The 13,133-nt window shown below is 37.8% G+C and overlaps 2 protein-coding genes across 5 annotated transcripts in view, besides 1 other annotated feature; one reads left to right on the plus strand and one right to left on the minus strand.

Moving 5' to 3' along the window:
* Positions 1–10,080, plus strand: part of POLR2B (RNA polymerase II subunit B) — a 52,263-nt gene extending 42,183 nt beyond the window's left edge. For all 3 annotated transcript variants that reach the window (NM_001303269.2, NM_000938.3, NM_001303268.2), the window contains 8 exons: positions 1,074–1,168; positions 2,252–2,502; positions 2,584–2,673; positions 2,927–3,034; positions 3,808–3,921; positions 4,299–4,459; positions 9,126–9,321; positions 9,821–10,080. In NM_001303269.2, the coding sequence (NP_001290198.1) occupies positions 1,074–1,168; positions 2,252–2,502; positions 2,584–2,673; positions 2,927–3,034; positions 3,808–3,921; positions 4,299–4,459; positions 9,126–9,321; positions 9,821–9,910 (1,105 nt within the window). In that variant the 3' untranslated portion in view covers positions 9,911–10,080. The remainder of the gene's footprint in view (positions 1–1,073; positions 1,169–2,251; positions 2,503–2,583; positions 2,674–2,926; positions 3,035–3,807; positions 3,922–4,298; positions 4,460–9,125; positions 9,322–9,820) is intronic.
* Positions 1,005–1,299: a silencer, noted in NCBI's record as "tiled region #7637; HepG2 Repressive non-DNase unmatched - State 15:Elon". NCBI's record gives its function as "represses a minimal TATA promoter and a strong SV40 promoter by Sharpr-MPRA in HepG2 cells {active_cell/tissue: HepG2}" and the evidence as "EXISTENCE:reporter gene assay evidence [ECO:0000049][PMID:27701403]".
* Positions 9,695–13,133, minus strand: part of IGFBP7 (insulin like growth factor binding protein 7) — a 79,613-nt gene continuing 76,174 nt past the window's right edge. Inside the window, exons 3-5 of one of the 2 annotated variants that reach the window (NM_001553.3) lie at positions 12,117–12,233; positions 11,348–11,474; positions 9,695–10,258 (exon numbers count right to left, since the gene is read on the minus strand). In NM_001553.3, the coding sequence (NP_001544.1) occupies positions 10,239–10,258; positions 11,348–11,474; positions 12,117–12,233 (264 nt within the window). In that variant the 3' untranslated portion in view covers positions 9,695–10,238. Of the gene's footprint in view, positions 10,259–11,180; positions 11,475–12,116; positions 12,234–13,133 lie in introns of those variants that run through there. The other variant, NM_001253835.2, reaches the window with a different exon arrangement.

Consider the following 13,133-nt stretch of genomic DNA (forward strand, 5'->3'; position numbering starts at 1 on the left):
TAACTACGCCGCACTCCAGAAAGTGGAAGGACTGGTTGATGGTCACAAACAGCTGAAGATACTACTTGTATCTCTCAGGATTTTCAAATGCTAGTATTTTGAGCCTTTCTTTTGGTAAGGAAATATACAGTTGCATTTAGATAATATAGAAATGTCCAAAGAAGAAATAAAAATAACTTAGAATCCATAGATAACTATTGTTAAAATTATAGTGTGTTTTCTTTTCGCTCTTTTTTTCCATTATGTTTCAGTTTGATTGTCGACAAACAGACCTCAAATTCAAGGCATATAAAGATTGTTTTAAAAACTGGGAATTTAGTAGAGGGGATGGATTTTCCTTTGTCTGTGTAGTTTCAAAGGGTAGCACTAGAACTCAGAGGACAGATACTATGGCTTAATGTAAAAACTTTTTTTTTTTTTTTTTTTTTGAGACAGAGTCTTTCTGTTGCCAAGACTGGAATGCAGTGGTGCAATCTTGGCTCACTTGCAATCTCTGCCTCCCAGGTTTCAAGAGATTCTCCTACCTCAGCTTCCCAAGTACCTGGGATTACAGGCACGCACCACCATGCCAGAGTTTTTTTTTGTTGTTGTTTGGTATTTTTAGTAGAGACGGGGTTTCACCATGTTGGCCAGGCTGTCTCAAACTCCTGACTTCAGCTGATCCACCCATCTCGGCTTCCCAAAGTGCTAGGATTACAGGCGTGAGCCACCATGCTCAGCCAATGTTAAAACTTCTCACTGGAAGTGTTTGAGTAGAACCTAGGTGACCATCTTTCAGGGTTATTATGTAATGGATTCTTAAATGTGTCGGAGGTTGGATTCATTGACCCCTGGGTCTCTTCCATTTTGACATATAATACTAGGTGGTTAAGGTTATGGGTCAGATGCTACATATGTATAACTCATGTGATAACATTTAGAGTTTAACTCAGATCCTTAATGCAGTTACTCTTGTCCCAGATTCGTAGTTTAAATTGTCTCCCAAATTTCAAGTAAATGAGAAATTGTTGGTATAGTCTCAGCCCTTTTGTTAAAAGAAAATAGACTTTACCTTTAGAACCATGTGTTTTTAGGTCTGTTTTCTATCGCTCATACAAAGAACAGGAGTCTAAAAAAGGATTTGATCAAGAAGAAGTTTTTGAGAAGCCTACACGTGAAACATGCCAGGGTAAGTGACACTAACATTTAAATGATGGAATCCAAAGTTAACTTACTGTGGTTTTCCTAAGTGATTTTGATGGGTTGTGTCACCCTGTGCCTGCCCCTGTCCTCCTCTCCCTTTTTTTGTGCAATGAAAGTGTGTTTTCATGTTATTCTTAGAGTTCACATCTAAGAAAACATGTGTATTTGATAAAAGTCTTTGCACCTAGGAGTGAGCTTGCTATAGACCTTCCTTCCTGGTAGGTCCTGCATTGAGGAGGGAGTTTAGGAAATCAGAGAGGTCATGCAATTTCTGGGGACACACTTCACACCTGTCCCCCTTCCTTTCTAAATTATGGTGTGATCATAATATTTGTTCAGCCACATTGTTTGTAAACATTTAAAAAATAACCAGTGAGAAGAGGATACCTAGCATTTGTTGTTTCTTCTAGAAAACTCAAACTTACTTTCTAGTTATTTATTTTGACAGACACTTAAAACCTGCTTATGCAGTGGGATGGATGGGATGTTCCAGGGAAATGCAATATCTCTGCTACAGTGTTGACTCTGAATAGCATTGCATGAAGTAAAATGTATTTTGTTTCCTTTGCCATCTTCCTGTTACTCCCCTTCCATTGGGTGGCTCTGTGTAGTAGTGAATTGATGTCCAGTGGAGTTAAGATTGAGTTAAGATGAAATCCACAATTTCTGTGGGAGGATGTGTACAGAGGGCATCCATAGATACTCTCTTTTTAATTTAAAAAAATTTTTCTCCTGTACCCACTGATGGCAGAGATATTCTTTCTCTTGTAATATAGAAATCAGAAGATGACAAAAAACATATCCAAAGTCACTCGATAAATGTCTGTCATGGAAGAATCTGCTTTCCCAGTGCTGATTCCAATGTTCTTTTCCTTCATAGACTTTTTTTTTTGTTTTCTGTGTGGGCTGTAGTATTAGAGTTCAGAATAGTTTGTAATATTTGGAATAAGGGTGTGATTCATGGTATAGAGACTCCTGTGGCCTTCTCTCTGACTTGGAACTGATTCATGTATGTGGTTTTTAATCTTTGTTGGGGATTATGTGACATTCCGTGTCTATTTCCTCACAGGCATGAGGCATGCCATTTACGACAAGCTGGATGATGATGGTTTGATAGCTCCAGGGGTTCGTGTATCAGGAGATGATGTTATTATAGGCAAAACAGTCACCTTGCCTGAAAATGAAGATGAATTGGAGAGCACCAATAGACGCTATACCAAGAGAGACTGTAGCACTTTTCTCAGAACTAGCGAGACGGGCATTGTGGATCAGGTTATGGTAACTCTCAATCAGGAAGGATATAAATTTTGTAAAATAAGGGTGAGTACAACTTTGTTCATGTAGCTAGTTTTAGAAAGTAAACCAAATCCACTTAACTAACTTATTTTTATATGAATTTAGGTACGCTCTGTTAGGATTCCACAGATTGGAGACAAATTTGCTAGTCGACATGGTCAAAAGGGTACTTGTGGTATTCAGTATAGACAAGAGGTAGGTATCTTTGATCTCCCTCATGCCCAAACCAGTTTTGTTAAATATTTTTTTTTTAATCAAAATTTGCTTTAACTTAAGAGCTCAAAGATGATACAGGTTGAACTTTTTGATTTTATTGTTGAATAAGTATATGAACATACCATGTTTAAACAGAATTTGGGACATACAGTAATTCAGTTGGGAGAACTGAAATGTCAGTTCTAGTTTAGTATATGTATCTTTGAGTCCCTTTTAAAATTTTTCTTTGTAGGATATGCCTTTCACCTGTGAAGGTATCACCCCTGATATCATCATCAATCCCCATGCCATCCCCTCTCGTATGACTATTGGTCACTTAATTGAATGCCTTCAAGGGAAGGTAAGAGATGTTCTTCAAAAATATAGATTCTAAGCTGATGCTTCTTCTAAAACTCTGATAGGTGATTGCTCTCACATTTGAGCCAGGGTACTTTGTAAAAAGCTAGTGTGAGACTTACTTTTCTGCTTTCAAATTGCTTATGATTCTGCCATTTTTTTTGGCAATTTGCAAAGTTATGGACAAGTCAGAATTTTTGTGAGATATACTACATTCAACTAATACATATGTGATTTTCCTTTTGACTAGTTCTTTTCTGTAGATGAACAGTTAATTTGTTGATGGAGAGTTCAATGTGAACTTAATAATTTTATAGTTCTATTATCAGCTCTGCATACATCTTTTGGTGGAGGTTTTCTATTTTTAAGTATTCTTTTAAGGTAAAGTGGTAATAGTCTAACATATGGATGGCTTGGTTTTAGGGCATTAAAATGTCATTTTCCTTTGAGCCATCTGAAGTACTTAGGAGTCTCACTCTTTTTGTACCTGATCCCATGGATCGACTTCTATTTGAATACTTATAATTGAGTTTTTCTTTTTTAAGCAAGTTTATTTGTTCTAAATGTTTTGTGTAAGGTTATAAAATGAACCTTATATATCACAGCTTTCCATAACATAGATTTTGAGTTCAAAATCTTTGAATTTTAAAATACTTAAAATAATACTTTCAAATTTTAAAAGTATTTAAAAATTTTTTGAATGCATTTTTATTGATATGACTTTTAGGGGGAGACAGACTGAAGCAACATTTTAAAGAGTACTTTTTTTTTTAAAAGGTATCGGCTAACAAGGGTGAAATTGGTGATGCCACTCCATTTAATGATGCTGTTAACGTGCAGAAGATTTCTAATCTTTTATCTGATTATGGCTATCATCTCAGAGGAAATGAGGTATATTTGCTCTTATAGTAGTAATTTGCCACTTGTTTTTTTTTGTATGTGTGTAGTTTTATTCTGAAACAATGTAACCTTTTATTGAAGTATCATATGTGCACATATAGAAATGTACAGCTTGATGAATTTTCACAAAGTAAACACAGCTGCATGACTAACACCAAGATCTAAAAATGTGAAGGTAGCGACTGAACCTTTTTTAGTCGCTACCTTTCCACTCCCACCCCAAGCTAATTACTCTCTTAATTGCTAACATTATAGATTAGTTCTGTGCTTTAATTTTTATATAAATGGAGTAACACAATATATACACATATCTTCTTTGACGTTGTTTAATTTTTAGGTCTACACTTCAAAATCTGTGTTTGTTGCAGGTCCTGTACAATGGGTTCACTGGTCGAAAAATCACATCACAAATATTTATTGGCCCCACTTATTACCAGCGTTTGAAGCATATGGTGGATGATAAGATTCACTCTCGTGCTAGGGGACCTATTCAGATCCTCAATAGACAGCCCATGGAGGGTAGATCTCGGTAAGAACTGTATCATCATCATTATTATTAATTAACCTTATATTATGAAAAATGTCAACACACCAAAATGGAGATAGTGGTATAGTGAATGCCTGTGTGCCTGTTACCCCCATTTCAACAATTATCGACTGATGGCCAGTCTTGTTGCATTCATCTCTGTCCTTCTAACCTTTGATATTATCATCATGTTTTAAAGGCAGAGTCTCACTCTGTCACCCAGGCTGGAGTGCAGTGGCATGCCCACAGCTCCCTGCAGCCTTGAACTGGGCACAAGCAATCCTACCTTAGCCTCCCAAGTAGCTAAATTAATATTGTCTCTTAAGTCCTTTTTTGAATTTATTGGTTGTCCTCCAACCTTTTTTTTAACTACAGGCATGTGCCACTACACCTTTAAAAAAAAAATTTTTTTTTTGTAGAGGCTAGGCGCAATGGCTCATGTCTGCAATCCCAGCACTTTGGGAGGCCAAGACGGGTAGATCACCTGAGGTCAGGAGTCCAAGACCAGCCTGGTCAACATGGCAAAACACCGTCTCTACTAAAAATACAAAAAATTAGTCGGGCATGGTGGCACACACCTGTAATCCCAGCTACTCGGGAGGCTGAGGCATGAGAATCACTTGAACCTGGGAGGCGGAGGTTGCAGTGAGCCGAGATCACACCCCTGTGCTCCAGCCTGGGTGACAGAGTGAGACTTCATCTCAAAACAAAAAACAAAAAATTTTGTAGAGACGGGGGTCTCACTATGTTGCCCAGGCTGGACTTGAACTCATGGCCACAATCCTCTAGCCTCAGCCTTCCAAAGTGTTGGAATTACAGGCGTGAACCACTGCACCCAGCCCTCTTGATTATTTTTAAGCAAAGCCCAGACATCATATAATTTCTCCTATAAATTTTTCAGTGTATATCTTTAAAACAATGGTTCTCAAATGTCTTGATCCCGGGAACCCAAAATGCTTTTGTTTTATGTGAGTTGTATTTATTGATATTTATCATATTAGAAGTTAAAGCTGAGATTTTAAATTTATTGTTTTAAAAATGCTAATAAGCTCATTACGTGTTAACATAAATAACATGTTTTGGCTGGGCGTGGTGGCTCACACCTGTAATCCCAGCTACTCGGGAGCCTGAGGGAAGAATTGCTTGAACCCAGGAGGTGGAGGTTGCAGTGAGCCAAGATCGTGCCACTGCACTCCAGCCTGGGCGACAGAGTGAGACTCTGTCTCGATAACAAAACAAAACAAAACAAAAAACCATGTTTAATGAAAAATATATCTATTTTCCAGATGAATTTAGTGACAAGAATAACATTGGTTTACATTTTTGCGAATCTCTCTAATGACCTGGCTTAATAGAAACAGCTGGATTCTTACATCTACTTCTGCATTCATTCCATTGTAGTATTTTATTTTTTATATTTAAGTATATGAGGAAGTTCTAATTTCATGCAAATAAGTGGTTGGAAAGAGAGGAATATTTTGGCTTTTTTTTTGTGAGACAGTCTCACTCTGTCACCCAGGCTGGAGTGCAGTGGTGCGATCTCGGCTCACGGCAACCTCCGCCTCCCGGATTCAAGCAATTCTCGTGCCTCGGCCTCCCAAGTAGCTGGGATTACAGGTGTGCGCCACCAAGCCCAGCTAATTTTTGTATTTTTTGTAGAGCCAGGGTTTCACCATTTTGCCCAGGCTGGTCTCAAATGGTTGGCCTCAAGTGATCCGCCTGCCTTGGCCTTCCAAATTGCTGGGATTACAGGCAAGAGCCACCACGCCCAGCCCACCCCTTCCCTTTTTTTGAGACAGTTTCATCCCTGTTGCCTAGGCTGGAGTGTGGTGGCACAATCACAGCTCACTGCAGCCTCTACTTTCCAGGCTCAGGTGATCCTCCCATCTCAGCCTCAAGTAGCTGGGACTACAGGCATGCACCACCAAGCCCAGCTAATTTTTTATATTTTTTAGTAGAGACAGGGTTTTGCCATGTTTCCCAGCTGGTCTCAAACTCCTGAGCTTAAGTGATCCACCTGTCTGCCTTGGCCTCCCAAAGTGCTGGGATTACAGGCATGAGCCAAGGCGCCTGGCCTGTGGATATTTTTTTGATACTACACCAAAACGGTAAGTTGTAGTTTCTCAAAGGTTGGTTTTGATGTAGAAACTGAAACCATATGAATGAACCTTCTGTATTTATGTTTGAAGTTCATTGGTTTGTCTTGTACTTCAGATGTATCTTTTACACATGCATATTTTGTAGCATCCTAATTGGTCATTTGGAAAATATTGGTTTGCTGAGTTACGTAGATTTTCAAATGTTAACACACTTCATTATAATAAAAAAATTGCATTTGTTAATATGACTACTGATGTCATTAGAAAAGCCTTTAAATATATCAGGAAGCTATCAAGCCCATAGTGGTGCATAGAAGTTTCCTAAAATTCTGATTTTTGCTTGAAGCTCACAATTTTCATCATTTTCAACAAATACTTAAAATTATTTTCCTCAAAGACTTACTTTTTTCGTTTGCTTTCATTTCTTTTTGTTCATTTCTTTGTCTGCCAAATATCTACAACATCGTCAACTTAATTCTAAGTCTGAATTAACATCATGGGTGTTAACATGTTGATGAGTTAACATAGTTGGTGTCAGCTGGCTATTTGAGTAAAAAAGATACTCCATGTTAAAAGGGACTAGTTCAGAATCATGCAAGTGCTTTTGTTCAAGACAGTCATCTTCACTATGCAGTAGAAGTGCTTATGAAGTGTTCCATTTTATTTTACTTTATTTTTTATATAGAGACTGGGTCTTACTGTGTTGCTCTGGCTGGTCTTGAACTCCTGGGCTCAATCCAGCCTCTCACCTTGGCCTCCCAAAGTGCTGGGATTATAGGTGTGAGTCATCGTGCCTGGTTGAGGACTTTCATTTTTTTAAAAGTCACAGGATATGAAAGAGATGTATACTCAAGGGTTAAGGTTTAATAAAACTATTTATTTTCACTGCTTCATTAAGGACATTTTTAAGTAAAACTGGCTTTTCTCCCCTTCACTTGAATGGAGAATATGACTGCTAGTAATGTTTGGTTCTGCTACCCTGAGTTCTGCTAAGGTGTCAGCAGTTTTATTCATGTTTCCACCATCAGTGCAAATGTAAACACAGTGAAAGAAGCAAATATATGTTGTTAGTATTACTATTAAAAATAGCTTTGACTCTCAGGCGGTCCATGAACCACACTCTGAGAACCTCTGCTCTAAAAGATTAGGACACTAAACCTAACCACAGTACCTCCTTAGTATTAAATATCCAGATTTACATTTCCCTGATTATCACATAAGTTTTTTAAAGGTTTGTTGGTTTTAATCAGTATACAGATAAGGTCCATGCTTTGCAATTGATTGATAGTGTCTCATAAGTCCTTTTTTGAATTTATTGGTTGCCTTCCAACCTTTTTTTTCCCCTTGTAATTTGTTTGTTGAACAACCTGGACTGTTTGTCCAGGGCTTGAGACTGAATTTTGCTGCTTGCATCCCAAATGCTGTGCATTGCTGTTTTTTGTTTGTTTGTTTGTTTTTTGTTTTTTGTAAATAGATCTTGAGGCTTGAGATTTAGCGTTTGAGTTTTTTGGCAGTAATACTTTATAGGTGGTATTCTATACTTCCAGTATCTGGTTGCCTTTCTTTTTATGATTTTAGCAGCTATTACTAAAGACCTTAATTAAATGGCGATTTCCAACTGATACCATTCTATTTTTTCTCAGTCCTTCTTCAGTTTTTAGCCAGACTACTTCTAAAACTTTGTTTCCTCAACTGTTTGGTTACCTAGTGATGTAGTTCTTATAGTAAGGGCAGGAATAAATGCTTGATTCTCTTTTTTTATTTACCAGTTTTCAAAATAGTGAGCTGGTTGTCTAATGATCCAGATCAGTGGTCCAAAGTCGACCAATGATTTTTTTGTTTTGGTGGAATATCATTATAAACCCATTGGTTTTATTTTGTATATTTTGGATATTAAGTATGTTAAGGAAGCCATCACCATCTATTTGCCTGGCCATCTGAATAATGCATTTATTTCACTTCTTATGTTGGGGAAACCTATTATCATTTACCTGTTCTTTCCATTACTTCAGCCAACATGTATTTATGATTTCAAGGTTGATTGCCTGGGACAGTCATTCCATTGACAAGCTGCCTTATTTAGATTGTCTTTTTCATTATTCATTTTTTTAGTATAGAGTTGAATTCTAGAAAGTTAAATGATAGCATGATGAACCTCCACTCTATGCTTTATTGTGTCTTATGAGGAAAATTAAATGCTCTACTTAAGAATCTAATGTATCCACTCCATTTGGGGACCTTCTGTTTTTATTTTTATTTGTTAAAAAATAGAGATGGGGTCTCGCCATGTTGCCCAGGCTCCTGAGCTCAAGAGATCCACCCAGTCCACTTCCCAAAGTGCTGGGATTACAGGGGTGAGCCACTTTGCTTAGCCCATTTGGGGACTTTCTAATGCACGTCAAATAGTTGGTAGACTTCTCCTCTCCCCACCAATAGAGAGAATGCTAGGGTATAAAAATTAGAGCCTAGTTATCCGTCTTTGCAAATATTATTCTCCACCTTTGCCATTATTCAAGGCGGTGTTTATAATAAAAAATAAGTACAAAGTAATAATTTTTTTCTCTTAACAGTGATGGTGGCCTGCGTTTTGGAGAAATGGAACGAGATTGTCAGATTGCCCATGGAGCAGCCCAGTTTTTAAGGGAAAGATTGTTTGAGGCATCAGATCCATATCAGGTTCATGTTTGCAATCTTTGTGGAATAATGGCGATTGCCAACACCAGGACCCATACATATGAATGCAGGGGCTGCCGCAATAAAACCCAGGTGTGTATAGACTTTACTGGCAGTTGATATTTGTTTAGAGGAAACTGTGTTGGTCTGATTATCCAGGCAGAATTAGTGTGGCAGAACAGATTGGCATTTTCACAATTTTGATAGCATGCTTCTGTGAGATTCCGAGTTCTAAATAAGGAAAAGATAATTTGATTTTTCTAAAAACCAGTTTAGGTTTTAGTGTGGTAATTTCTCTAAGCTATTCATCTTTTGGAAATAATAAGACTTTGTACAAGGGATTTTAAACAATGAGTTTTTGAAAACCTTTTAGTTGAGGTGGGTGAATATAAATTATGTCTGGCAGAATGGGTAAAATACCAAAGCCTACTAGGAGAAAGAACCACCATAAGCTGAGGTAGCAGAATGTGTGTTCTCAGCTCCACTCATTTATTCATTATCTACAGTACCAGATCTTTGTCTTTTTCTGGGGTAGAGAAGTGGGGTCACTTCAATACAATTCTGCTAATTACCATTTGTTTTTTCTTTTCAGATTTCTTTGGTGCGAATGCCTTACGCATGCAAACTATTGTTTCAGGAACTTATGTCTATGAGTATTGCACCGCGAATGATGAGTGTTTAGCTATTTTACAGGAGTCAACAAGATAATTAAATATCTTGGTGTCTTGTTTCTATTGTGTGGCTTTTTAAAAATGACAAATATGTACTGTGTTGTGATAAAAAGTATTTTATTTGTTTAATGATATGCATGCTTTTCTTCTGTAAATATATAATAAATTTTTGTAGATAGTCTTGATGTGTGATCTTTATTTTGTATTTCTCTGTGTAAAACCAGTGAATATAACTAAAGTGTTAGTGGATTGGATTAAAAGAAACTTATTAGGCAAGAACAGGTAATGTAGTTATCCATGACTACTTTTAACCATGCAGACTAATAATATTCTGGAGGTTTATAGCTCGGCACCTTCACCTGTTTAAAAAAAAAAAAAGATAAAAATTAGTTACATATGGGGATGTGGTTGACTTTTGAATTGGCAGGTAGTTGAGTGTTTCCAAATAAATGAAGATGTTAAAATATGGGGATAAAGGATATATGAGTAATTGTATAAATGATATGCTGGAGTGCTCTGTGGAACTCAAGTTACATGATTTTAGCTATGAAAGGCAATTTTGCTGTATTGGTTGATGCATCAAAGGTACATCTTATTATAGAACTGGAAGAGCACATTTCACAATGAGATTCAGAGAGGTTAAAGACCTTTCCTTTGTAGTCCGGATCTCCTTCAAAAGGTAAAGTGGAGGAATAATTAGTAGCAGAGCTGAGACTCAAACGCATGGCTTGACTCTTAGCTACTGTTCTGTTTCATTGCCTGACATTACACATTATGGCTGAAGAGAATCTGACCAAATACTTCTTTACTTAATATTTCTTTTCATATCACAGCTGAGTGATCTGCACAGTGGAATGGTTTGACACATGGTGACGGTAAATTTTGTTCTTTTGTCTAAGGGAAAGCCAATTCAGACATCAGTTTCATAGAACTATATAAATGTAAAGTAGCACTGCTATGACACAGGATGGGTTCTTCAGAGGAAGCTTTTTGGCAGTGAAGGAAGGGGAGGCAGAACAGAACTGGGTATTTGCCAATATACTCTCCTTTGTGGCCTTTTCTTTTAAAAGCAAAAGTGAAGGGCGAGAATTGCCCACAATCATTTTCTTTTAAATAGGAATTTAATAGTCACAACACAAAGGGAAAATGCCAAGTAGATAGGTAGAAAGCTATGGGAAATAGAAGCCATTCCAGGCAAGTTTGATTTTGACTCTTACATGTTAGATAAGGTAAAAGCATCTAAGTCATAATAACGATGTTCAGTCACCCATCCAGATAATCTTTTGGAGTCTCATGCTGTACATTTTAATGGCATACTTAATGCCCTTATGGGTTGCTAACTACAGAATTTCATCAATAGCTACGTCTGATACTTTCATACTTAGTTCTGTTCTTTTTAAAGCAAATGTACTAGTCATTTTTAAATGGCTGTGAGATTTATTGTGTACCTTTTTTCACTGGTATTTCATGTAAGGCATCAACCACTGTAATTTTTGCTGATGCTGAAGCCTGTCCTTGGGAATTGGATGCATGGCACTCATATTCTCCAGCATCTTCCTTACTTAGAGGAGATACCTGTGAAAGAAAAAAGATCTAGTATTCCTCTGTGGTGGTCTTCTCTTTTGTCAGTGGTTCCAGTGAGGTCATTATTTCATAAATTTCCTAAGATGACCAGGGGATTCATAGCAAAGGTACTGCTAGAAGCAGTGCAAGTCCTGTGATAGGAGACTTCGATAACTACCATATTTGGTTTGCTGAGGATTCATATGAGGAAATGTCATGGACAACTTTTGATCATACTGCATAGGTTAAAAACTGGATAGGTACACATTATCGGTTTAAGGGCAACCTTGATAAGGGTATATGATCAAAGTATTCTCCATGAATATCCAGGGTCAAGTAAAATAAGGTATTTATTAATCGATAATCAGTTAAAACAATGCTTGGGCCACGCAGCTCCGTGTGAGGATTTTGCTTTGAACTCTTAGGAAAATACTAGTTCTTGTTAATTCATTGGTTGTTTTCAAAACATGCAATAAAGCACTTTTCCTTTAGTTTCTCTGAAAGAGGAGCAGCGACTCCATGGTAAGGCTATTCCAAACAGATGTGGAAGAGCAAGCACCTTTAGGCTGGCGGTACATCAGGCACCTTTGCCAGGTCTGCTTATGTCTAATGCTAAGAATGAAACTCTTGCCAGCTCTTGGTACTGGTACTCACCAGCACCCAGCCAGTTACTTCATGCTTTTCTGGGCCACCCCGGGTCTGAATGGCCAGGTTGTCCCGGTCACCAGGCAGGAGTTCTGTCCTTTGAACTCCATAGTGACCCCTTTTTACCTGCAAAAACAAAAGGAGAGTAATACTGAGTTTTGTACACCAGATCATCTACTTGGAAGTGGCCACATCCCTACAATTGCACATAGTGTATGTCAGACTTTCTAACAGAGTAAACCCAGCATTTCACTGAACTATTTCCCTTTCCTAAATACTTTTAAAATATAGATCCTCTTTTATTTCTTCCTGCCAGTTTCCTGCTAAGCGTACATGTTTTAAACTAATGTATTTTTCTGCATGCCTGGGGAATATACATGGTCATAATTTCCTGCCACTGGTCACCATCATTCATTCACTCATGCTCTTGGAAATTCTGCTTCTCAGTTCCAGGCCTTTTGCCTGTCATGCCATGTTCAACTGATGAACTGTCACCCAGCACTAGGTTTGATGCTTGGGACCTTGGGGCTCTTCCTGCAACAGCTTCATCAATGGAAAATAGGCTGAGACCAAAGCCAATACCATTACTTTATTCTGAGGGCTAAGAATTAATCAAATGATTTACTGAACACCTAAGATAAAAAACACCTATCAAAGGAGTTCGAGACCAGACTGACCAACATGACAAAACCCTGTCTCTAGTAAAAACACAAAAATTAGCCGATTGTGTTGGCGAGCACCCGTAGTCCCAGCTACTCTGGAGGCTAAGGTGGGAGAATTGCTTGAACCTGGAGGCGGAGGTTGCAGTGAGCTGAGATCGCGCCACTGCACTGCAGCCTGGGCAACAGAGTGAGACTCCATCTCAAAAAAAAAAAAAAAAAAACAGCTGTCAAATACATGTGCTGTCATTGTTCTTTTATGACAAAACTTGCTGACTGTTTCTGTGTATGTCATGTCAAGATTCAGAAGAAACTCAGTTTCTTTGGTGCAAGGCCAATACTGAATAGTATCCTTTTTGCCCTCATT

The sequence above is a fragment of the Homo sapiens genome, chromosome 4 (assembly GCF_000001405.40).
Source record: "Homo sapiens chromosome 4, GRCh38.p14 Primary Assembly".
Taxonomy (NCBI): Eukaryota; Metazoa; Chordata; class Mammalia; order Primates; family Hominidae; genus Homo; species Homo sapiens.